Raw genomic sequence first — 25,423 nt, 5'->3', positions numbered from 1 at the left:
ATAAAGAAAACATGGCACATATACACCATGGAATACTATGCAGCCATAAAAAAGGATGAGTTCACATCCTTTGCAGGGACATGAATGAAGCTGGAAACCATCATTCTCAGCAAACTAACACAGGAACATAAAACCAAACATTCATAAGTGAGAGCTGAACAATAACAACACATGGACAAAGGGAGGGGAACATCACACACCGGGGCTTATTAGGGGGTGGGGGGCTAGGGGAGGGATAGCATTAGGAGAAAAACCAAACGTAGGTGATGGGTTGATGGATGCAGCAAGCCACCATAGCACATGTATACCTATGTAACAAACCTGCACGTTCTGCACATGTATCCCAGAACTTAAAATATAATAATAAACCAGGCCTAGTGCAGTGGCTCATGCCTGTAATCCCAGGACTTTGGGAGGCTGAGGCAGACGGATCACCTGAGGTCAGGAGTTTGAGACCAGCCTGGCAACACGGCAAAACCCCATCTCTACTAAAAATACAAAAAATTTAGTCAAGTACGGTGGCAGGTGCCTGTAGTCCCAGCTACTTGGGAGGCTGAAGCAGGAAAATCGCTTGAAACCGGGAGGCGGAGGTTGCAGTGAGCTGAGATTGCACCACTGTACTCCAGCCTGGGTGACAGAGTGAGACTGTGTCTCAAAAAAAAAAAAAAAACCTTCTGCTCCTTAAGGACCTGCCCCATGTGACAGAAGGCAGTTCAAGCTCTTGTTATCCCGAAGCCCCAGCATGGGAAAGGCCCTTAACTGGGGAGCTCTTTTATTTATTTCATTTATTTTATTATACCCGACTTGACTTTTAAAATAAGCTTCTCAGTAACAAAACCTCCTTTCTCTCTTTCCAGCAAGGAGTCAGGCTCTGAAGGTTGCACATGTCATTTAGATTACAAAAAAGAAAACTATATATATAATTAAATGAAAAATCACGTTTCTCTAATGCCTTGGCTTCAACACCCCCTTTTCCAAAACAAAGTTTTCTGCTCAGCTTTTTCTGCTCTTTCATGGTAGAGTAACCATCAACTTTATTGCCCAAACAGGGACCCTTTCAAGAATGAAAGGGGATTCTATTAATCCTGACACTGGCCATATGACCACCCTTCTCCGGGGTCATCATTTCTCATCAGAGCCCAGAAGAATGTGGCTAACCAATTCCAGATGGCAAATTAGAGTGCATCAATCTCAGGCCTTGAAAGAGTCAACCCCCGTGCAGTTCACTTTTAAGTAAAAGTGATATTCTCTTTGCTCGACTCTCTGGCACTGAAGCTCAGGTCAACGGCGCGAACCCTACATGTCTAAGAGAAGGCGGGTGTTTTCCTGCATATTGTCCAAGAAGCCAAAGGATCCAGGGATGCTTTATTTCTAGCAATAATCCTAATGTACTGAGACTAAACGCAGTTCCAGAAATTTCTCAGGCGGTTGAGGGGTGGGGTGTGTAGTATCAGAACAAAGAAGGCTGGGGAGACCATTGGGTCCATCCCAGTGCCAGGCAGGGCCACACCCTCCATTCCAGATGAAATCAAGTACCTGCTATTTATTTTAAACCTCCAGAGGAAATCGCGCCACCTCCCTGGATGAGCCAGTCCAAAGTTTAATTGAGATCTTCAGCAGAAGGCCCCCCGCTTCCCGTCCACCCTCCACCCAGGAAACTGATAAAGTCTGACCCTCCCGGCTGTCACCAGCACAGCAGAGGGCAGAACTGTCTGTCACCCCATCTACTGTGAGGGGCACACTCTCCTCTTCAGACCAGAAAACCCTCTCTGGACCCAGGAAATAGTCAGGACATGAAACAGAAAAACACGCACACAGAAAGCAACCTCCTTCCTCCCTAGATCAGCACCCCCTCACCCTCAAGCCCTTTAGTTCGTAAGTTTAAAGACAGGAAATGCAAGAAGCAAGGCTTAGAGCCCTTTCCATGCCTTAACTCCAGCCCCTTCCTCCATCCCTCAACTCCAGCCCCTTCCTCCATCCCTCTCTCTCTTGACAGACAGACAACCCATTAACAGCTGGCCCATAATAGTCTTTCCTGTAAGAACATGTAAACAGCATCATTCAAGCTGAAACTTGGGCATTTCCCAGCGCACTTGCTTCCATTTCCTTTGTCCTTTCTATTTTCCAGTGTTCCCATGGGGAGTGGGGAAGGCTGAGATGGAAGGGTCTCTCTCTCTTCCCCACCCCACCCGACCTGCCCTCCTCAGTTCCCTCCCCCTCTCCGGCTCCCTGAAGTTGAAAGGCCTTCAAGCCCCTGAATACTTCTATCAAGTAGCTTTCTTTATCACTTTTCATTTCCTTGAAGAAAGCCCTTCCCTTTAGTATGCTGGAGACTCCAAATCAATGCCTGCCATCTCTTCCATTCCAACATAGTCCTATTTCTAAGAATCCATATAGGGTTTTTGCCTCTTCTCAGCATTAAATGACAAAATCAGTGCCTATTGAAATTATGTTTTAAGTCAGTCCTGTGCTGGCCATAGTGCTTATTTTTTCAAATGAGAATTTGTTCTTTTTAGATCACTTGCAGTTTGTAAGGCAAATACAGGCCAGGCAAGATGGCTTACGCCTGTAATCCCAGCACTCTGGGAGGCCAACGGGGGCAAATCACTTGAGTGCAGGAGTTCGAGACCAGCCTGGCCAACATGATGAAACCCCATTTCTACTAAAAATACAAAACTTAGCTGGGAATGGTGGCACATGCCTGTAATCCCAGCTACTCAAGTGGCTGAGACACGAGAATCACTTGAACCTGGGAGTCGGAGATTGCAGTAAGCCAAGATCGCGCGGCTGCATTCCAACCTGAGTGACAGAGTGAGACTCCGTCTCAAAAAAAAAAAAAAAAAAGGTAAGGCAAATACACTACAGAAGACAGGCCCTGAAACCAGAGGCTGGTCAGGTGATATAAATGAGTAAAGGGGACTTGATATGAGACAAGAGGAACTATTGTGGCCTGTGGTAAAAGGAAGAGACTGGAATCTTGCCACAAAAGAGACAATCAATATTTAACTGCACTTTGGGAGGCCAAAGTGGGTGGATCACCTGAGGTCAGGAGTTCGAGACCAGCCTGGATAACATGGCAAAACCCCAGCTCTACTAAAAATACAAAAATTAGTCAGGTGCAGTGGCGTGTGCCCAGCTACTTGTGAGGCTGAGGCAGGAGAATTGCTTGAACCTGGGAGGCAGAGGTTGCAGTAAGCCAAGATCATGCCACTGTACTCCAGCCTGAGCAACAGAGCAAGACTCCGTCTCAAAAAAAAGAAAAAAATTAACTGCAGACAAATGCTGCTACACAAAAATTCTTACCTAATGTCGCCAAAACTTTGAATTATCTAAAAGAAGTCTTAAATCAGAAAGGTTACGTGAAATTTCCCGATTTTTAAAATAGTGTGTAGGGGCCAGGCGCAGTGGCTCACGCCTGTAATCCCAGCACTTTGGGAGGCCAAGGCGGGCGGATCACGAGATCGGGAGATCGAGACCATCCTGGCTAACACAGTGAAACCCCATCTCTACTAAAAACACAAAAAATTAGCCAGGTGAGGTGCGGGCGCCTGTAGTCCCAGCTACTCGGGAGGCTGAGGCAGGAGAATGGCGTGAACCCGGGAGGCGGAGCTTGCAGTGAGCCGAGATCGCGCCACTGCACTCCAGCCTGGGAGAGACAGCGAGACTCCGTCTCAAAAAAAAGAAAAAAAAAATAGTGTGTAGGTCAGTTTGCAACCTCTGGGCTAGACAATAAGAACTCCTGACCTCAGGTGATCAGCCTGCCTCGGCCTCCCAAAGTGCTGAGATTACAGGACAATAAGGAGCCCACTGCAACCTGGGCCCTGGCACTATTTGGCACCGTTAATATCTGCACAAGAGAACACAGTCCAGCAGCAGCAGCCACGGTCTAAGGGATGGGGGACAGCCAGGCATGGGAATGGGTATATGGCCCAAGAGAGGCTCCACCCAGGGGTTCGGGCCCCTGAACCATCTGGAACTTGGCTGTAAACCTCCATTAGCCTTTGGTTACCTGCCAGCCCCTCAGGAATCTCCTGGGGCAGAATCCAGGTGCTCCTAAAGTCACCATTTACACAAAGTACTTATTGAGCACCTATTGTCTACAGACATACACAAAAAGAGCAATAAAAAGACACAGGCCCTGTTCCCATGAAACTGATGGGCTGTCAGTCCCCAAGTCCACCTTATTTCTCAAGTAAATCCTAAATATAACACATTTTCAAAAAGGAAAAAAAAACTGTCAGAAATTACTCAAACAGATGTCCCTGTACCTTCACGTTCAAATGATTCATGCTTTTTGTTATTGAGCCAATTCATGAGCTTCATGGAGTCTGAACAACCCGAGTGTGCCTTGTAAGGGGCCCTCAATGAAAAAACAACTGGTCCCAGACTCCCACTCTGCAGCACTTGGGACACAGCCAGCCAGCCCACAAACAGCAGTGCATTTGCTTTTCTCTTCACCGAGGAACTCATTTACATAGACTTGATGGTGTGATTTTGTTTCTAAACCTGGCTCTTTTGCTTTAACATTTTCCAATTACTTACATGCTAGTGAGTTCCAGGATATGGTTTTCCAGGGATAATAGGCAAATCAAGTTGCTATTATTCTCTGTCCACCTTGTTCCCCCTCCTGATTTGTTTCCCTAGTATAAATCTACACATGAAGAACATCACCACTGATGAAAGCCAGATTTAGAAATTACACTTATCCCAGCCTGGGCAACATGGTGAAACCGTCTCTACAAAAATAAAAAAAATAAAAAAAAATTAGCCAGTCCTGGTGGTGTGCACCTCTAGTCCCAGCTACTCAGAAGGCTGAGGTGGGAGGATCACCCAAGCCTGGGAAGGCAGAGGTTGCAGTGAGCTGAGATGGTGTCACTGCACTCCAGCCTGGGCAACAGAGTGAGACTCCATCTCAAAAAAATTAATTAATTAGGCCGGGCGTGGTAGCTCATGTCTGTAATCTCAGCACTTTGGGAGGCCGAGGCAGGCTGATCACCTGAGGTCAGGAGTTCGAGACCAGCCTGGCTAACATGGTGAAATGCTGTCTCTACTAAAAATACAAGGCGTGCACCTATAATCCCAGGTATTCGGGAGGCTGAGGCAGGACAATCACTTGAACCCAGGAGGCAGAGGTTGCAGTGAGCCGAGATCGTGCCACTGCACTCCAGCCTGGGTGACAGAGCAAGACTCTGTCTCAAAAAATAATAAGAAAAGAAAAGAAGAAAGAAAAGAAAAGAAAAAAGGGGAGGGAGAAAAGAAAAGAATAGAAAAGAAAAGGAGGGGAGGGGAAGGAGAAAAGAAAAGAAAAAATTACAGTTATCACCCATTCTTGGCTTCCAAATTAAATTTAAGACACATTATCATTTCAAATCCACCTGAAAAAAGTAACCCCCAAATGTACTTTTGCCTCCTACTGACGGTGGAACTTGGGCAAGATTCCTAAGTCTTCTGTGCCTCAGCTTCCTCGTTTATAAGATGGAATTAACCAGTTGTACTTGCCTCATAGGTTTGTGGCAGAATTGAAATAAGACATGTAGAGTAAGAATGAACTACTTTTAGTAATATTTTTTGTCAACACCAACGTGAGGAACGTGGTGGTTAAAAAAGCACAGACTCAACGGGCTGGGTTCAAACCCTGGCTCTTCCATCAACAACTGTGACCTTGGGAAAGTTTAGGAACCTCCCTGAGCTTCTGTTTTCTCATCTGTGGAATTAAGATAAAAATAATATTTACCTCCGAGGGAGGCTGTAAGGAGGTTCTGACATGCATAAGCAGTGTATTAGGTTTACAGCTATTTTGGTGATGATGAAACCAAGGCTAATGGGAGGTGGCACCCAGCCCTAGAGCAGCTGGCTATATCATACGTTCACAGATATGCCCAGGCCCCCACAAGGAAATAGATGGGGGATCAAACCAACATGTGTGTGGACAGAATCCACTTCCGGACTCACACAGCTATTGTTCCTAACACCTTGGGTTCACATTTCCATGGTGACTGGGATGTTTGTTTCCTAATCTTTCTTTGCTACAGTTGGAGTCTCACAAGGGCAGCCAGGTTAAGGATTGTATTCTTTGTGGCAAATATCAAATACACCTGGCCCTCTGCTCAAGCAAAGCCTGGGACAAAGGTGCACATCCAGCCTTCCTTGACTCAGGGGGCTGGCTCCTCCTGACCCAGGCCCCATGTCTCTGGCCTGCTGTCTTGGGTTCTTTAAGGCAGGTATCCCCTAAGGATGTGACTTTTAACCCTGAATGAGTCAGGATCCTTTGACTGTAAGTGGCAAGTCACACGTTCACCCAAACAGGAAACCAGGGGGGTACATCTGGCCCCCAGAATGGCTGGACACCAAAATGAAACAATGCAATGAGGACTCTCTCTCTCTCCCCCACCCCATCAGCCTTTGATTCAACATCGTGCTATGCCGCCTTTATTCTCAGATAGGCTGTGGCAACGGCCACCAAGAGCTCCAAGTTTCCCTCCACCAGCTTGGCAACCCCAGCAGCAGAAGAGCAGCCCTTTTGGAACCAAGAATCCCATCCCCATCCCTGAGGCCAAGCAGAGAATCAAGGCTCTGCACAGCCAGGGCTGAGTCATGTGCTCACTGATGGAACCAATGAGACATCATCTCCACCCAACCTTGTGGATTAAATACAGGGAGGAGTGGTCCCCCAAGAAAAATGGAGGTGCTGTTGCCAGAAGAAGAGGGGGTAGATGTGGGCCAGAAAAACAACAGACACCGTCTGCTCCCACATTTCTTCAAAGCTACTGCCAGGTGCTTGCCTCTGGCATGGAGGAGCCCTTCACCCTCCAAGACTTCACACTGGCCATTTGGCCACTGAGGGAGGCCCAGACCAAGCTGACACCTTTCCCCAGAGCCAGCCACATCTCCTGACTGCCCTGCAGCATCACCTGGGTGCAAATATTATAGTTTTTTATCTTTTAGCTGACACATAACTACGTATTTATGGGGTACATGGTGATGTTGCAATTCATATGATGTACAGTGATCAGATCAGGGTAATTAGCATATCTGTCATCTCAAATGTTTATCATTTATTTGTGCTAGTGTATTAGTCTCTTTTCACACTGCTGATAAAGACATACCCAGGACTGGGCAATTTACAAAAGAAAGAGGTTTCATTGGACTTTCAGTTTCACATGGCTGGGGAAGCCTCATAATCATGGTGGGAGACAAGTAGGAGCAAGTCACGTCTTACATGGATGGCAGCAGGCAAAGAGAGCTTGTGCAGGGAAACTCCCCTTTATAATAACCATCAGATCTTGTGAGACTTACTATCACGAGAACAGCATGGAAAAGACCTGCCCCCCATGATTCAATTACCTCCCACGGGCCCCTCCCACAACACGTGGGAATTCAAGATGAGATGTGGGTGGGAACACAGCCAAACCATATCAGTTAGGAACATTCAATATCCTCCTTCTAGCTATTTGAAACTACATATTAGTGTTAACTACAGTCATTCTACAGATATAGAACACTAGGAGTTTCTTCCTCCTATCTAGCTATAATTTTGTGTTGTTAAACAAACCTTTCTCTATCCCCTTCCCCCTACCCTTCCCAGCCTCTAGTATTATCTGTTCTACTTTTTACTTCTATGAATCAACTTTTTTTTAGCTTCCACGTATAAGTGAGAACACATAGCATTTAACTTTCTGTGCCTGGTTTATTTCACTTAGCATAATGCCCTCCAGTTCCATCCATGTTGCTGCGAATGGCAAGACTTCATTCTTCAGGGCCGAATAGATTCCCGTTGTGTATATATGCCACATTTTCTTTATCCATTCATCTGTTGTTGGATATCTAAGTTGATTCCACTATCTTGGCTATTGTGAATAGTGCTGCAATAAACATGGGGGTGCAGATGTCTCTTTGATGCACTTATTTCCTTTATTTTGGATAAATGCCCAGTAGTGAGATTGCTGGATCATATGGTAGTTCTAGTTGTAGTTTTTGGAGGAACCTCCATACTGTTCTCCATCGTGGCTGTACTAGTTTACATTCCCACCAACAGTGTATGAGTTCCCTTTTCTCTACATCGTCTCCGGTATTTGTTATTTTTTGTCCTTTTGATAATGGCCATTTTAACTGCGGTGAGATAATACCTCATTGTGGTTTTGATTTGCACTTCCTTAATGATTAGTGATGTTGAGTTTTTTTTCTTTTTTTTTTTTTTTTTGAGGCAGAGTCTTGCTCTGTCACTCAGGCTAGAGTGCGGTGGCACGATCTCGGCTCACTGCAACCTCCGCCTCCCAGGTTCAAGCGATTCTCCTGTCTCAGCCTCCCAAGTAGCTGGGATTACAGGCATCCACCACCACGCCCAGCTAATTTTTTTTATTTTTAGTAGAGACAAGGTTTCACCATGTTGGTCAGGCTGGTTTCGAACTCCTGACCTCAAGTGATCCACCTGCCTCAGCCTCCCAAAGTGCTAGGATTACAGGCATGACCCACTGCACCCGGCCTCAGCACTTTTTATTGGCCATCTTTGTATGTCTTCTTTTTTTATGTTTAGATGTTTTTTAATTTTTTAATTTTTCTATAAGTTATTGGGGTACAGCAGTATTTGGTTACATGAGTAAGTTCTTTAGTGGTGTGTATGTCTTCTTTTGAGAAATGTCTGTCCAGATCATCTGCCCATTTTTTAATAGGAATGTTTTTTTCCTGTTGAGATGTTTGAGTTCCTTGTATGTTCTGGGTATCAATCCCTTGTCAGGTGAACAGTTTGCAAATGTTTCCCCCAATTCTGTGTGTTGTCTTTTCACTCTGTTGATTGTTTCTTTTGCTGCACAAAAGTTACAGTGTTGTCCTTCCACTCACCGCCATGTCCTATCAGGTGCCAAGTGCTATAGATTTAGTCTCCCCAAAGCTGCTCCAACCCACCCCTCTCCCTCTTTTTTGCAGAACCCTGGAAGCCCCCACAATACTTCCAAGAACCACTGCCCATTTGGCCCTACAGCTTCTGCTGCCAGATCTGGTGTCTTCAAGTACAGGTAGTTTTTGAGCCTCCTCTGCTGAAAAACTCTCAGTGGCTCTTTTTTTTTTTTTTTTTTTTTTTGAGATAGGGTCTCACTCTGCCACCCAGGCTAGAGTACAGTGATGTAATTATAGCTCACTGCAGCATCCCTGGGCTCAAGTGATCCGCTTCAGTCCTCCCCAAGTGGCTGGGACTACAGGTGCACACCACCACACCTGGCTAATTTTTTTATTTTTTGTAGAGATGGGGTGATACGGTTTGGCTGTGTCCCCACCCAAATTTCATCTTGAATTCCCACATGTTGTGGGAGGGACCCAGTGGGAGGTAACTGAATCATGGGGACAGGTATTTGCTGTTCTTGAGACAGTGAGTAAGTCTCATGAGATCTGACAGTTATTATAAGGGGGAGTTTCCTTGCACAAGCTCTCTCTTTGCCTGCTGCCATCCTAAGGCGTGACTTTGCTCTTCCTTGCCTTCTGCCATGATTGTGAGGCCTCCCAGCCACGTAGAACTGTAAGTCCATTAAACCCTTTTTCATGCATAAATTACCCAGTCTCAGGTATGTCTTTATCAGTAGTGTGAAAATGGACTAATATATGGGTCTTACCATATTGCCTAGGCTAGTCTGGAACTCCTGGGCTCAAGTAATCCTCCCACTTTGGCCTCCCAAAGTGCTAGGATTACAGGCGTGAGCTACCGTACCTGGCCGGCTATTTTTTGCCTAAAACCTTAACTCCCAAATTCTAGCCTGACACTCAGAGACCTCCCCATATGACCCTATTCTTCTGCAGCCTTCCTGCTCCCTGCTCCCCCACAACTACTCCAGGCTCCAGAAAAATGGGGCCACCACAAGCTGTTCCCAAGTCACCACCATTTGGCTTTCCCCAGTGCCAACAACCTTTGTCCCTCACACCCCGTAACCTCATAAGATGGAATTCTCCCCACAGCACAGGCTGGAAGCTCAAAGCCAAGCTCCAACACCTACCTGAATGTGTCCTTAGCCTGTCAGATTTGTCATGTGCAAAAGACAATGAAACCTAATGCATTGGACCGTGGTGAAAAATACATCTATCTCTATAAAGCCTCCTTCACAGAGCCTGCACCAGTTAGGGGCCCTGTAAATGCTGTCTTCATACCACCAGCCACCTGTCCTCAAGGCACAGCTCAAGACCACTTCTCTGATGAAAGCTTTACTGATCCCTGCCCCCCATCAAGGCTGCCTCTGTACTTAGATTACTTTGTAATGGAGTTGATCATGTACCTGCCTTTCCCCCAACTAGGCTGGAAGGTCCTGAAGAGGAAGAGCAGAATCTCACATCTTTGCATTCCTGAAGTACCCCAGCCAGCATTACACACCCAGGAGGTCTTGAATCATGTCAGTTCAATTGACTCGGATTTTGCACATGCTAAAGCACCCCTCCCTGCTCATTAGTTGGTCACTAGTTCACTAGACAGAGATAACAGGAATCTAGCCTCTACTGGGCACATCCCTGGTTAAAGGATTACAGACAGAGTATCTCTTCATCAACTGCCCAGCTTGTCAACCAAGGATAGGAGTGCTCACCTTCCACCAACCGTCATTTTATTATAAAATAATGGTGGTTACTATTAAAACAAACACACAACGCTGCACACCCAGAAGAGCCCAGCCTAACAAAGCCAATGCCTTGGAGGGTTTTTTATAAACCCCAACCCAGCACAGGGCACTGGGAAAGGTCCCAGTCTTCTCATTCCCCATTCTTGCCCCTTACTCTCCAGCTCCAAAATGGCCACTTTACGCATCAAGCCTAACAAAATTTGATTTTCCGAAAAATCAAATTCGCATTTGAAAGACAAAGACATGTCATCATCTAGCGGAGTCAAAACAGTATGCTAGATGCGTTAAGGCATCTAGCCTTAATGATGTGTATTTACAGTCCATCAAAGCAGTCAGTCAACAAATGGGTCCAAGAAGAGTTTCAAGAATCCTTGAAGTAACACAGCTGGAATAATCCTAGAATCTCCCATGGAGGAATGCTAAGAAGGCCAACCCTTGCTGAGATTCAGAAGACCTGGCATGTTTACTTTTCTTTAAGGATTTTATTTCTGTACAGTCCTCTCAAGTGGCCTTACATTTACAAGGCATTGTCACCCCCTCCCCAAAAAAGACATCTTTTTTCTTCTAATTATTAAGTGTAACGCACATTCGTTGTACATAATCTGGGTTTTCCTAACCCCTGCTCACTATGTTATGATCGTCTCTCCATGCCAATAAGAATAGGTCTCCATAATTCTTTTTTCTTTTTTTCTCAGAGACATGGTCTCACTCGTCACCCCAGGCTGGAGCACAATGGCATGATCACAGCTCACTGCAGCCTTGAATTCTTGGGCTCAAATGATCCTCCCACCCAAGTAGCTAGGACTACAGGCATGCACCACCATGCCTGGCTGATTGCTGATGTTTTTTAATTTTTTTTTTTTTTTTAGAGATTGGGTCTCACTATGTTGCCCAGGCTGGTCTCGAACTAGATCTCCATAACGTTTTTGCGGGGGGGCGGGTTGGTTTTTTGTTTTGTTTTGTTTTTTTTGAGACAGGGTATCACTTTGTCACCCAGGCTGGAGCATACTGGCACCATCGTGGCTCACTGCAACCTCCAACTCCCAGGCTCAAGTGATCATCCCACCTCAGCCTCCACAGTAGCTGGGACTTCAGGCGCACACCACCATGCCCAGCTAATTTTAGTTTTTTGTTTTTGTTTTTTGTAGAGATGGGGTTTCACCATGCTGCCCAGTCTGGATCTCCATAATTCTTAATAGCTATGTATGAGTCTACTATTTGAATATGCCAGGATTTATTATATCGATCCTTTACAGATGGTCATTGGAACTGTTTCCAATTAACCTCTATTATAAACATCATCTACTGAACAACTTCCTGCACGTCATTGGTACGCTAATTTTTCCTTAAGATAAAATCTTAGACGTGGAACTTCAAGGTCAAGGGTTACCCAATTTTAAGGCTTTTGATGTCTATATTACCAAAATGTTCTTGAGACAAAGACTTACCAATTTACACTCTAGTCAGCAACAAGATCGTAATGTTTGAAAGAACCTATTCACCCACACTTTTTAAATAAGCCTTTATCAATGTTTTAAATTATTGCCAAACTAAGATTCTATATATCTTAGATTTCTAGTGAGATCGAGCATCTTTTCATGTGTAGTGGATCCCTACATACTACCTGTCTAACCAGGACTTGCTTTTTTCCTTAGAAACTACCTCCCCATTTACTATCTCCATCCTTCCTGGCTGTAACAAGGCTACCATGTTTGTTTGTTTGTTGCTGCTGTTGTTGTTGTTTGAGATCAAGTCTTGTTCTGTCACCCAGGCTGGAGTGCAGTGCCACGATCTCAGCTCACTGCAAATCTCTGCCTCCCGGGTTCAAGCGATTCTCTTGCCTCAACCTCCTCCCTAGTAGCTGAGTTTACAGGCATGCGCCACCATGCCCGGCTAATTTTTGTATTTTTAGTAGAGATGGAGTTTCGCCATATTGCCCAGGCTGGTCTCAAACTCCTGGGCTCAAGCAATCCACCCACCTCGGCTTCCCAAAGTGCTGGGATTATAGGCATGAGCCACCGTGCCCAGCCTATTATATACTAAAATTTTACATATACTAGGGTTTGCATCTGGACTCCCCATCTTATTTACATTTTTTATTTGGTCTCTGTGATCAATAGGGCATTATTCCTATGTGATGATAAAGATACAGAGAGGCAGGCCAGTAGTGGTGGCTCATACCTGTAATCTTAGCACTTTGAGAGGCCAAGGAGGGCGGATCACCTGAGACTGGGAGTTAGAGACCAGCCTAGCCAACACAGTGAAACGTCTTTACTAAAAATACAAAAATTAGTCAGATGTGCTGGCGGGCGCATATAATCCCAGCTACTTGGGAGGCGGAGGCAGGAAAACCACTTGAGCCCAGGAGGCCAAGGTGGCAGTGAGCCAAGATCACGCCACTGCACTCCAGCCTGGGCAACAAAGCAAGACACCATCTCAAAAGAAAAGATACAGGCCAGGTACAGTGGTTCATACCTGTAATCCCAGCACTTTGGGAGGCTGAGGCAGATGGGTCATTTGAGGTCAGGAGTTTGAGACCAACCTGACCAACATGGTGAAACCCCATCTCTACTAAAAATACAAAAAAAAGAAAAAGAAAAAAAAAAGCCGGGCATGGTAGCAGGCGCCTGTAATCCTAGCTACTCAGGTGGCAGAGACAAGGGAATCTCTTGAACCCAGGAGGCAGAGATTGCAGTGAGCCGAGATCGCACCACTGTACTCCAGCCTGGGCAAGCGTGAGACTGTGTCTCAAAAAAAAAAAAAAAAAGATACAGAGACACAAAGTTACCAGCCTTGGTCTCTGGCAGGTTAGCAACAAAGCTAGGACAGAACTCACATCACTAGTCTCCACCTTTTGCTACTTCCAACTGTAGAAAAATTAAGCAGAAGAGAATCAGCACGCTTGAACCTGGGAGGCAAAGGTTGCAGTGGGCCGAGATTGCTCCACTGCACTCCAGCCTGGGTGACAGAGTTAGGCTTCATCTCAAAAAAAAAAAAAAAATTAAAATTAAAAAAAAAAAAAAGAAAAAGAAGAAGATGCCAGGCACAGTGGCTCACACCTGTAATCCCAGCTCTTTGGGGAGCCGAGACGGGCAGATCACAAGGTCAGGAGTTCGAGCCCAGACTGGCCAATATGATGAAACCTCGTCTCTATTAAAAATACAAAAATTAGCCGGGTGCTGGCTCATGCCTGTAATCCCAGCACTTTGGGAGGCTGAAGCGGGTGGATCATGAGGTCGGGAGATCGAGACCATCCTGGCCAACATGGTGAAACACCATCTCTACTAAAAATACAAAAATTAGCAAGGCATGGTGGCGGGCACCTGTAGTCCCAGCTACACGGGAGGCTGAAGCAGGAGAATGGCGTGAACCCGGGAGGCGGAGCTTGCAGTGAGCCAAGATCATGCCACTGCACACCAGCCTGGGTGACAGAGCGAGACTCCATCTCAAAAAAAAAAAGAAAAAAAAATACAAAAATTAGCCGGGCACAGTGGTGCATGCCTGTAGTCCCAGCTACTCAGGAGGCTGAGACAGGAGAATTGCTTGAACCCAGGAGGAGGAGGTTGCAGTGAGCCAAGATCGCGCCATTGCACTCCAGCCTGGGTGACAGAGCGAGACTCTATCTCAAAAAAAAAAAAAAAAAAGAGAGAGAGAGAAGAAAATCAGCAGTCCTCTCCACATCACCCTAAACTATGAAATCTGAGCATCACCAGTCAGGATACAGCTAGTATCTAGACAAACCTTGCAGGAGAATGCAGAACTGGGTGAGGTTTTGCCAGGAGCCCAGAAGAGTGCTTGATAGGGCCCATTCCCCTCCCAACCTCTTCCCCCGTATGTGACAACAGTGTCCCCGACAACAAGCCTTAAAAGGTAGGTAATACCTATCACTCTCTCACTCCTTGTGGGATGTCTTGAAGTCCACATGGCAATATTTCCACCCCTCACATCTAGATGGAAAATTCTTACATTTTCTCAACAATATTTACTTACTGTTTTCTTTGGCCAGATGAAGTACTGTGTATTTTTAAACTTTCCAGGAAGACAGTTTATTAAGATAATACAGTGTAGGATAATCAAACTGTTTATTTTTGACTTTTGATTTAATCTTCCTTTCTGTAATCTACTAAAGAAAACATTAGAATCATGCATTTGCCTTTCTTGGATTGCGAGAATCAGTTCAATTAGCAGTGGCGGGTTTTTTTCCTGTTTATTTCTACTACAAATGTAACCCCTCTTGGCTCTCATTCTTCCCTTGGGGTAATTTTTGTTTTAATGTGTAATGCCTGCTCTTCAAATTAACATCAAATTTTATTCTGAAGTACCCACAGTTGAATTATCAGTGGAAAATGCACCTGCAAATTCTCAAGATTTGAAGGGTGAGAAGAGACTCCAGGATCACCTGGCCAAGCTGCACATTTATGCAGCTGAGGATGGTTTTGCTTGGAGAGGAGCCACACAGCACATGAGTGGCACACTCTCCTTTTCCCTTTGAACTTCTCATAGAACCTTGATCAAGCTTTCAATGGAATGGAAACATCTTGCCTCAATGCACAGCAGGAGAAGATACCATATTACCTCGAAAATTAAAAAGTGGGTGACTAGGCTGGGCGCAGTGGCTCACGCCTGTAATCCTAGCACTTTGTAAGGCCAAGGCAGTTGGATAACCTGAGGTCAGAAGTTCGAGACCAGCCTGACCAACATGGTGAAACCCCATCTCTACTAAAAAAAAATGCAAAAGTTAGCCGGGCATGGTGGCGGGCGCCTGTAATCCCAGCTACTCGGGGCGCTGAGGCAAGAGAACCGCTTGAACCTGGGAGGCAGAAGGTTGCAGTGAGCCGAGATCGTGCCATTGCACTCCAGCCTGGGCGACAGAGCAACACTCCGTCTCAATAAATAAATAAATAAATAAATAAATAAATAAATAATAAATTAATAAATAAATAGTGGGTGACTGGATCTCACTTCTGGCAAGTTATGAAGCCTTGAGCTTTGCCAGATGTTAGCAACAACATCATTCCCACCTGCTAATAAATCCTATCCTAAGGTTGGTTATGTCTGTTACTTGGCTGCAATGCACAATGAGAGCCCAGTCTGGGAATCTGGAGGGCAGGGTTCTGGCTATGTTTGTTTGTTTGTTTGTTTTTTAAGAGACAGGGTCTCACTCTGTTGCCCAGATTGGAGTGCAGTGGCTATTCACTGGAGTGCAGTGCATAGCACACTGCAGCCCAGAACTCCTGGCTCAAGTGATCTTCCTGGCTTGGGAGTAGCTGGGACTACAGGTGAGTGCCACCGTGCCGGACTTGGGGTTCTGCTTTTAGTTCTACAGTGGGTATCATAGTTGTCTTCTAATATTAGAAGGGCCCCCTCAGGCAAAGAGTGGTGCATTTATCCTGGATACCTCCAAAGAGCAGAACCAGGACCTAATGGGTTAACATGGCACCAGACATACCAGGTCTCCACAGGCCGACTTGGGTTTACTTTTAGCATCTCGTTAGTTCCAGTAAGATACAAAGAAAAAGCCCTGGTGTCAGCCCTCAGGAAGTCTACAATTTAGTGGGTGAGGCAAGAAGCCTATCTAATATATATAGATATATATAATATATATATATTATTATAGATATTTTTAATCCAGTGGTTTAAAATCGGATAGGCTGCTTAGAAGAAGGTATGAGCTCCCCGTCTCTAGAAATATTTGAGCAGAAGACAGAAACCAACTGCCAGGGAACCTGCAGAGTCCTATTTGGGGACCCGGTCAGAGTAGTCTGGATGTCCAAGATAATCTCAGAAGGCACTCAGAAAACCCACCAGCTCCAGGGTTCTATAGAGCAGCAGTTCCCACGCCTGGTTCATCCTCAGAACCTCCTGTTTTAAAAATACAGGCTATCCCCAAAAGCTGCTGCTTCAGTACAGGCAGGGCCTGTGTTCCAGGGTTCACTGCGTCCTCCAAAGAAGATTATGTTGAAGTCCTAACCCCCGGTACCTCAGAATGTGACTTTATTTGGAAATAGGATCTTTATGGAGGTAATCAAGTTAACATGAGGTCATTCAAGTGGGCCATGATCCAATAGCACTGGTGTCCTTATACAAAGGATAACTCTGGACACAGGGACAGATGCACAAGAGGAAGACGCACAGGGAGAAGACAGCCACCAACAAGCCAAGGAGAGAGGCCTGGAACGGGTCTTCCCCGGGTACCTTCAGAGGGAGCACGGCCCTGCACACACCTTGATTTCAAACGTCTGGCCTCCAGAACTGTGCGACAATAGATGTCTGTTGTTCTAAACCACCCAGTTGGTGGCACTTTATTACGTATCCCTAGGAAACACACAGCCTGGGGATGGGTGTTAGAGTTGCAGAGCTGCCCTGGAGGAAAATCCAGGCCAGGGGACCCATCCTGCTTTGGAGCCTCTTTCTGCTCCTGCACGGCCACCCATGCGGGCCCCTTTTGGCCCTCAGATCCCTTCTTTGCGGAAGGAAGGAGCTGGCTTCAGTGTGAGGAGCTCCCTCCCACACTCTGACAGGACACGGAGCCCGTAGCCTCAGCACGCAGTGAAGGGGCAGCCCTTCCCCATGTAGAGCTAGCTCACACATCTGCAAATGTTTCCCAGAAGAAAATGCCATTCTCCTCCAATTGTTAACAAAATTACTGAAGGCCGTGGGGCTCTGGACTATGCCCTCATGCCAAGCTTATCTCGGAGGGAGGCAGAGCAGGAGGAGGGGCCACTGATTTGTTTTGTGTGGTGCTGTTTTTAATGGGCGTTTTCTATTCTCAGGTGGGAACCGTAGGGCCCTTGTCTAGGTAAATTCCATGCAAACCTTTAGTGAAAGCAGTTACCAGAGGAAGAGCTACAGAATTCCACAGAGGAGGATACTGTGCCAGATCAAAGACAGGGCAAATGACCTCAGGAGGACTGACACCAGCACAGGCAGCACTTGGAGGGGATTAGGAAGGGGCGTCCCTTCCTCAAGACACTTTCTGCCCCCCGACCTGATACATTTACACATCTACCAGCTTTAGGATGGGAACAATGGCTCCCTAGAATTGTACAATGTACAATGAAACGCAAAAGCTCTCAAACACGAAAAACGAAGCAATGGATTGGCACCACAGGAAACAAGGGGAAGTGGCTCCTTGGTATGTGATCTTGGAAAACCACTTCACCTCTCTGAGCTTGTTTTCCTTCTTTCTCAAACTAGAATAATACTAACAGCAACAGCAAAAACAATTCCCAGGCCCACAGGGTTGTGCTGATGATCCACAGTGAGAGATCCAAGACACCTTACGAAGCTGTGGGCTTGTTTTCTGAGTGTACCCCCTGCCTGATTTACACATGCAAAATCCAAGGGCAACTGAAAAGTCATCTACAACTAAAGTCTTTGACTGAACTCAACCTTAATTTCCCTAATTCAAACTTTGAATACCATAGAAAAGATGACTCATTACTCAGAGGTGAGGGATGTTAAGTCCCAAAGGTCTCAGAAATGTCATGTCACATGTATCATGCTCCTTTCTCATAAGAAAATCTACATTGTACATCCCTAGGGTCACTGAAGCCTATTTCACAAATTATTATGATTCTTCCCAAAGAGGAAAGGGGATGTTATTAGGCAGATACTCCCACAGGAAAAAAACAGAAGTCTTTAAAATAAGTGCATAAAGATGAATATATCATGGGTAGGATATTCCTTTATATTATCTTTAAAAATTAGAGAATTTAAATGGCTCATTCTAGGGGCTTGGTTAAATATATTATAAAACTAGTCAAAGACAATGAAAAACACAGACCCCTTTAGAACTGGATAACCCCTAAGAGTCTGCTAGAACATACCCAGCATTCCATTGAAACAGCATTCAGCTTCCAAAGTCTTTCACAATTTTTCCTGACACCCATCCATTTCATGGGAAACTATAAACACAGATATGGAAAGGCTCTGCAGCATATTGTGGACTGAAAACAGCTGCGGAACAGTGTGTACACTGGGACCCATTTTGTGTAAAGTTCTATCTAGATGTTCGTATGTGCATATACAGAGATTTGGGAAAACGTTCACCTACATGCTGACGCTAATTATTTCTGAGTGGTGGGATTGGTAGCAGGGGTGCATGGGAAGACAGAGAGAGATGCTTTACATGGTCCTTTGGACTTTTTTTTTTTTCCGAGATATAGTTTTACTTTGTCCCTCAGGCTGGAGTGCAGTGGCACGATCTCGGCTCACTGCAACCTCCGCCTCCCGGGTTCACGCCATTCTCTCCCTTCAGCCTCCCGAGTAGCTGGGACTACAGGCGCATGCCATCACACCAGGCTAATTTTTTTGTATTTTTAGTAGAGACAGGGTTTTGCCATGTTGGCCAGGCTCTTCTCAAACTCCTGACCTCAGGTGATCTGCCAGCCTCAGCCTCCCAAAGTGCTGGGATTACAGGCATGAGCCACCACTTCTGGCCTGGACTTTCTTTAGTGAGTATTACCTTTGCAAATTTTTTTTTTTTTTGAGCCTCTGTCACCCAGGCTGGAGTGCAGTGGCGCGATCTCAGCTCACCACAACCTCCGCCTCCCGGGTTCAAGCGATTCTCCTGTCTCAGCCTCCCAAGTAGCCGAGATTACAGGCGCGTGCCACCATGCCTGGCTAATTCTTGGATTTTTAATAGAGACGGGGTTTTGCCATGTTGGCCAGGGTGGTCTCAAACTCCTGACCTCAGGTGATCCACCCACCTTGGCCTCCCAAAGTGCTGGGATTACAGGCATGAGCCACCATGCCTCGCCTCTGAAATGTTTTTAAGCTACCAAAAAGACTAGCAAAAATACCAAGGACCATGATATAGAACAGTCACCACTAGCCACTGAAGCATAAACTAAGAGGTGCACCTGAAGACTAGCCCTCACCTCCGTAACCCATGGAACCAACCAAGGAAATCGGGTTTCTCCTTCCTTAATTTATATTTTGCTATATATTATAGAGAATTAAGCTTTAATTTGTAAAAATCCCTCTAATTGGATACTGCTGAAGGGAAGACATCTGGGGCAAATATCTAGGCCTGGTGCATTCCATCCCAAGCAATGGTTAGTGGTTTGGAGAATAAGTGTGCGGCAAAATAACCAGTGGTTACTAATTATTATATATCACAGGGCTTGGCACCATCCATAAAGCCTCATCATGTTGGCCTCTTCCTCTTCAGAGAGGATTACAGAATTGACTGTTTAGAAATTTTTCCTCCAAGTTAACATACGTTTTCCTTGTCTTAATTGGATCCAGCCTCCCTGCCCATGAGCAGAAAGGCAATTTTTCTTTAACGATTACATCCTTCAAATGCCAGGTCATCAGCCATCCCTAGGTCTGGAAGGATCAAGCTGCTTGGCTTCCTCTTTTCTTTCCATTTGCTCAACCTCATTCTAGCAGTTATGTGAAAAGCATGTGAAGCTCACATCGAAAGTTACCTTCGATTTGGCCAAAAAAGGGATGAGTGTTATCGGCATGAAACATCTCCTCCTACTCACACAGAGCCTCAGAAATGGGGAGAACTGTTTGCCCCAAATGTTTGGTCTAATGCAAATATTTATTTCTTCCAAAACGACTAAAACAAACCACTTCCAAATTAGGGGGGAGGGGGAGTTTGCCAAACATTTTTCAGAGTTAAGACAAACATTTGGAAAACATTTTCCAATTTGCCCTATAACCTTAGTTAACCTTTCTTAACCATGTTGAATCGTATCCTAATGTACCATCTATTGTGACCCCAAGGCCATTTCTTGAGGATATCACTTTCTCGGCTCTCTTCTTCACCATCACATAACATAAATACAGGTTGAGTATCCCTTATCTGAAATGCTTGTGACCAGAAGTGCTTTGGATTTCTGATGTTTTTGGATTTTGGAATATTTGCATTATACTGGTCGAGCATCCCAAATCTGAAAATCTAAAATCCAAAATGTTGCAAAGAGTCAAGTGTGGTGGCACGCACCTGTAGTCCCAGCTACTTTGGAGGCTGAGGCAGGAGGATCACTTGAGCCCAGGAGGCCAAGGCTGCAGTGAGCTAAGCTATGATGGTGCCACTGCACTCCAGCCTAGGCAACAGATCCAATGATCATTTTGTATGCATCATGTTGGCTTTCAAAAAGTTTCAGATATTGGGCCGGGCATGGTGGCTCAAGCCTGTAATCCCAGCACTTTGGGAGGCCGAGGCAGGGAGGATCACGAGGTCAGGAGATCGAGACCATCCTGGCTAACACGGTGAAACCCGCTCTCTACTAAAAATACAAAAAAATCCCAGCACGTGCCTGTAGTCCCAGCTGCTTGGGAGACTGAGGCAGGAGAATCGCTTGAACCCGGGAAGCGGAGGTTGCGGTGAGCTGAGATCGTGCCACTGCACTCTGGCCTAGGGACAGAGCGAGACTCCGTCTCAAAAAAAAAAAAAAAAAGTTTCAGATTTTGGATTTCAGATTCTTCAGTTAGGGATACTCAAGCTGTGTAGCATCAGTCATTCATTCTGGAAATATTTTTGAACACCTACTATGTTCCAGGAACATATTCATTAGACACACACTCTCCCTAATCTGTGACAGCAGGGGTAGTGGCATCAACCCACAACAGCATTTGGCTTGAGAAAAGTTGGATGCTCAGGTATCCTTTGCTATTCAAGTCGATGGTCCAATCCTTTGTCCTTACTCCACCCCTATTCTTCCTAGAGCTAGGAGTTCCTTCTCCTGGGATGTTATCTACATATCCCAACAAGCCCCTCCTGAGTGCATTAACAGAAAACATTAAGACCAAGCAGGACCCATTTCTGCATCAGCCACTTAAAGCTGTTCTTCCTGGGACATTTGTCGACCTTCTCCAGCTTGTTTCCATTTCAGAAGCAGTGCTAAGACCCATGCCAGGATGGAATTCCATTTTCAAATGAGGTTTCACAAGACTTTTTATCAGACTTGCAGAGCAATTACATTGGCTGGGTTCTCTCCATCCAGCAGTTGGGTAATTCTATCTCCTACCCCCTCCCCTTCCCTTCCTGGAGTGGGTAAGTTTAGAGCTACACCTTCTCTGCAGGAGCAGATCAAAAGCATGGCTTCCTGTACCCTCATCATCAGGGAGCGACACCAGGCTGCCTTCCCACCAGGATCTCAAGTCTGACTGTGGACCCCCAAGGAAGTGCATGGCTCTTATACACTCCCTTGCCTCACAAAGCCCCCTGAAAAGCAGAGTTGCAACATTAACGCAACACACACACACACACACACACACACACAAACGGGTTGACATGGTTTCTAAATGCAAACACTCAAGGTTACCACTGAAAAATGGCAAGGGGTCATCCGGAGAGAGCTTTTCTGGGGGAAAAGGCCACTTCATACCCTCTCTTTGGTGAGGGGGTGGGGATGCCCTGCAATCTGCAAGAAAAACCCTCCTCGCCTCCCCCTCTCTAACCCCCTACTTGGGTAGTAAGTAAAGAGAGCTGCAGAAACCTGAGCCTGCACATAAGGTACCACTGTCAGGCAGAGGTAACTGAGGGCGAGAACCTCCTAAGGAGCAGTAAGCGGCCAGGGAAGCAGGGTGCAGGGCAGATGGGAGCTATGTGTGGTGAGCCAGCAGGAACTGGCATGCCCGCTGCCCACCTCTTGCCTCTGCCAAGGAAAGGAGGTGGTGCTGCTGCCAATGATGTGGCCCACACCTAAACTCCCATGACTGTCCCCACCACCACCACCCATGGGGCTTCACATCCAGTCCCTTGGGGGCAATTCGTTGGCCACTAGCCATGCTGAGGGGAAAAATAACGCAAGAGGCTGGCCTCGCTTGTCCGATGTGTTGGTAGGAGGGGCCCAGGCAGCGAGAGAGTACAGGTAATGGGCCTCCACAGGCGATCATACCACATACGTACACATGTGCTTATGTGTGTACAGGCACTTATGTATGGCATGTAGGCATCCTGCCTTGTCCTCAAACACAGATTCAGTTGTATTGATACACAGTTCTACTTTTAAAATGGAAACATCTACTTTGAGGATTCACCTATCAGTCATTTACAACCTAGTAGGAATTAATTTACCCAACTGCTCTCAAACTGGCCCTCAGCTGAAATCACGGTCTGAGACAGAAATTATATTCCCAATTTGCCCCTTTTCCCAGGGAATCTGACAAAGACACTCTTTCTCTTCCACAATTACAACCTCATGGGTATTTACACTTAAAAACCCTACCATCTCGAGAAGAGTTTGTTGTTTTGGCATATATTATGAGAGGAAGGAAGAAAGATTTATTTTGGAACATAAAAGCACTTTGGAGGATAGGGGAGATCCACTTGCAATTGCTCCCCAAAAGTCCACAGTTCAAGTGACCTTGAACAAGTGACTCCCTTTTTTTATTTTTATGTTTTTTTTTAAATTATTATTTTACCTTTTAGACGGAGTTTCGCTGTTACCCAGGCTGGAGTGCAGTGGCACTCCCAGGTTCAAACAATTCTCCTGCCTCAGTCTCCCAAGTAGCTGGGATTATTATAGGCACCCACCACCACATCCAGGTAATTTTGTATTTTTAGTAGAGATGGGTTTTCACCACGGTGGTCAGGCTGATCTTGAACTCCTGACCGCAAGTGATCCACACACCTTGGCCTCCCAAAGTGCTGGGATTACAGGCGTGAGCCACCACGCCTGGCCATTTTTATTTATTTTTTATTTTTTGTAGAGATAGGGGTCTTGCTATGCTGCCCACGCTGGTCTTGAACTCCTGGCCTCAAGCAATCCTCCTGCCTCAGCCTCCCAAAATGCTGGGATTACAGGCGTGAGCCACTGCACCCGGCCCTGACTCCCTTTCTTTCATCTCAGTTTCCCCATCCGTTAAACCAAGGGTAACCTCTATGCCGGAAACAGAGGACAGGGCAGCAGATCAGCTGAGAAGGCTCAGGGAAGCCGAGGCACCAGTGGCCCTGTGGCCTCTGCCACTTCAGGACAGAGGCATGTTCTTATCTGTTTATCTCAGCTTATCTGTTTACCCTTGCTTTCTGCACAGGCCCCAGAAGCTGTCCTTGGGGTTCATTTCATCATTACCTTTTTAAAAAAATTTTTGATATTCCACAGATTACAAGTTCTTAGAAACACAGTAGGCCCTATCAAAACTGGCCTAGTTTAGGAGGATGTCACCAGTTGACTCTGGTACGTCAGATAGACTCCCTTGCTTCGGACACCAGGGAACAAGCAATGAACTGTTTTATTGTTTCAAACACTTTCTTTCTAAGTGTGCTCTGAGTTATTGTTAAAATGTTTCAAATCTCACAAGAAACAGTTTTTAAGGAGAAAACCATTTTCAAGTGGATACAAGAACAGTGAGTTTCTTTGGCATCTTTAAGTATACCTTCTTCCTGATGTCTTCCCAGCTCAGAAAAAATGAAAACCCTTAAAATGGTTTTGCCTGTCTTCACCCCCATTTTAGATCACCTGCCTGTGGAGGTTTCTTTCTATTCTTTCTGTAGATCTGCCGCACTTATGCAACTTAATTGTTTTTTTAAATAAAATGACTGCTTTAAAATAGCCCCACATTAAGAATTTCAAGAAGGAACATGGGGCTCTGTATGTATCTATATCATGCACTTAATTTGAATCAGGAAAGTCAGTTGCTCAATTTAGGCAAATTTCCCAACAAGATATTGAAAAAGGGGGTGGGGGAGGATATGGTAGCTTAACCCCCTCCACCCCCGCCACCATCCATGATTGTCCCTGACCTGAATTTCCTCTTAGGTGAGTCAGTCCCAACTCCCAACCCCTGCCTTCACCCCTCCTCCATGGTGCAGCCCCCTCCCCTTCCTCAGTCTCTTCCTCACTCTCCGCACCCCCTTCCCTATTTTCTCCTTCTCCTACCCATTTCCCCCTCTCATCTCTCCTTCTCCCCCTCCTCCACACTGTCTCTCTCCCCAACTCCCTGCCTCCCTCTGCTTCTTTTAATTTTCCCTAATTTTTCATGTCAGAAGTCATGGGGTTATCACACTCACTAAATGCACAGAATCCTCTAGAGAAGCTCTGTCCCGATGAGCTTTCTGCAATGATGGGAATGTTCTATATGCATGGCCCAATACAATGGCCACTAGCCACACATGGCTACTGAGCACTAGACATGTGGTTTGCATGCTTCAGGAACATAATTCCTAACTTTAATTAATTTAAGTATAAATAACAACATACAGCTAGTGGCTACTACGTTGAACAGAGCCCCTGAAGAGGAACAGGTACCTTTAATCTTTTCGGTCATTCCCTGTGACAGGCTATGTCAAAGGACATACCCAGGCCAATCCCAACAGAAAGCCAGAAAAGAATGCAGCCTCCACCGTCTTCACTCCAGAACTGCAGCCCGTCTACCCGCCCAGGCCTCTGCCCTGAACACCTGCTCTGCCTGGAAGGCGCCATGGCACACCAGTTTTCCTCTTGGATCTTGTCATTCCTCAACCAAAGGGTCTTCTTGCCATTGTTTTTAATGGTTTCCATTTCTAGGAACAGACCTTCATAAAAACAGTGTTGGCCGGGCGTGGTGGCTCACACCTGTAGTCCCAACATTTTGGGAGGCCAAGGTGGATGGATTGCTTGAGCCCAGGAGTTTAGAGACCAACCTGGGCAACAGGGCGAAACCCCATCTCTACAAAAAATACAAAAATTAGCCAGGCATGTTGGCACGAGCCTATAGTCCCAGCTACTCAGGAGGCTGAGGTGGGAGGATCACTTGAGCCCAGGAGGTCGAAGTTGCAGTGAGCTGAGATGGCACCACTGCACTACAGACTGGGTGACAGCAAGACCCTGTCTCAAAAAACAAAACAAAACAAAAACCCCTCAGTGCCCCAGAAAATTAGCAGTTGTCTT

At 45.9% G+C, this 25,423-nt stretch overlaps 1 protein-coding gene across 1 annotated transcript in view, besides 3 other annotated features; it reads right to left on the bottom strand.

Moving 5' to 3' along the window:
- The window catches only part of GRK5 (G protein-coupled receptor kinase 5), a 252,175-nt gene that overhangs the window by 219,839 nt on the left and 6,913 nt on the right, over nucleotides 1-25,423 (bottom strand). The gene's annotated exons all lie outside the window — the stretch shown is intronic.
- Nucleotides 4,274-4,333: an enhancer, noted in NCBI's record as "active region_4108". NCBI's record gives its function as "activates an Ori minimal core promoter by ATAC-STARR-seq in GM12878 lymphoblastoid cells {active_cell/tissue: GM12878}" and the evidence as "EXISTENCE:reporter gene assay evidence [ECO:0000049][PMID:35858748]".
- Nucleotides 7,296-7,590: an enhancer, noted in NCBI's record as "tiled region #13114; K562 Activating DNase matched - State 9:DNaseU". NCBI's record gives its function as "activates a minimal TATA promoter and a strong SV40 promoter by Sharpr-MPRA in K562 cells {active_cell/tissue: K562}" and the evidence as "EXISTENCE:reporter gene assay evidence [ECO:0000049][PMID:27701403]".
- Nucleotides 17,023-17,534: an enhancer, noted in NCBI's record as "H3K4me1 hESC enhancer chr10:120981885-120982396 (GRCh37/hg19 assembly coordinates)". NCBI's record gives its function as "activates a minimal SCP1, AML or CMV promoter by ChIP-STARR-seq in naive H9 embryonic stem cells {active_cell/tissue: H9 hESC(naive)}" and the evidence as "EXISTENCE:reporter gene assay evidence [ECO:0000049][PMID:30033119]".

The sequence above is a fragment of the Homo sapiens genome, chromosome 10, assembly GCF_000001405.40.
Source record: "Homo sapiens chromosome 10, GRCh38.p14 Primary Assembly".
Classification (NCBI taxonomy): domain Eukaryota; kingdom Metazoa; phylum Chordata; class Mammalia; order Primates; family Hominidae; genus Homo; species Homo sapiens.
The sequence above is the reverse complement of the archived record's forward strand: the minus strand, read 5'-3'. Positions and strand labels throughout refer to the sequence as shown.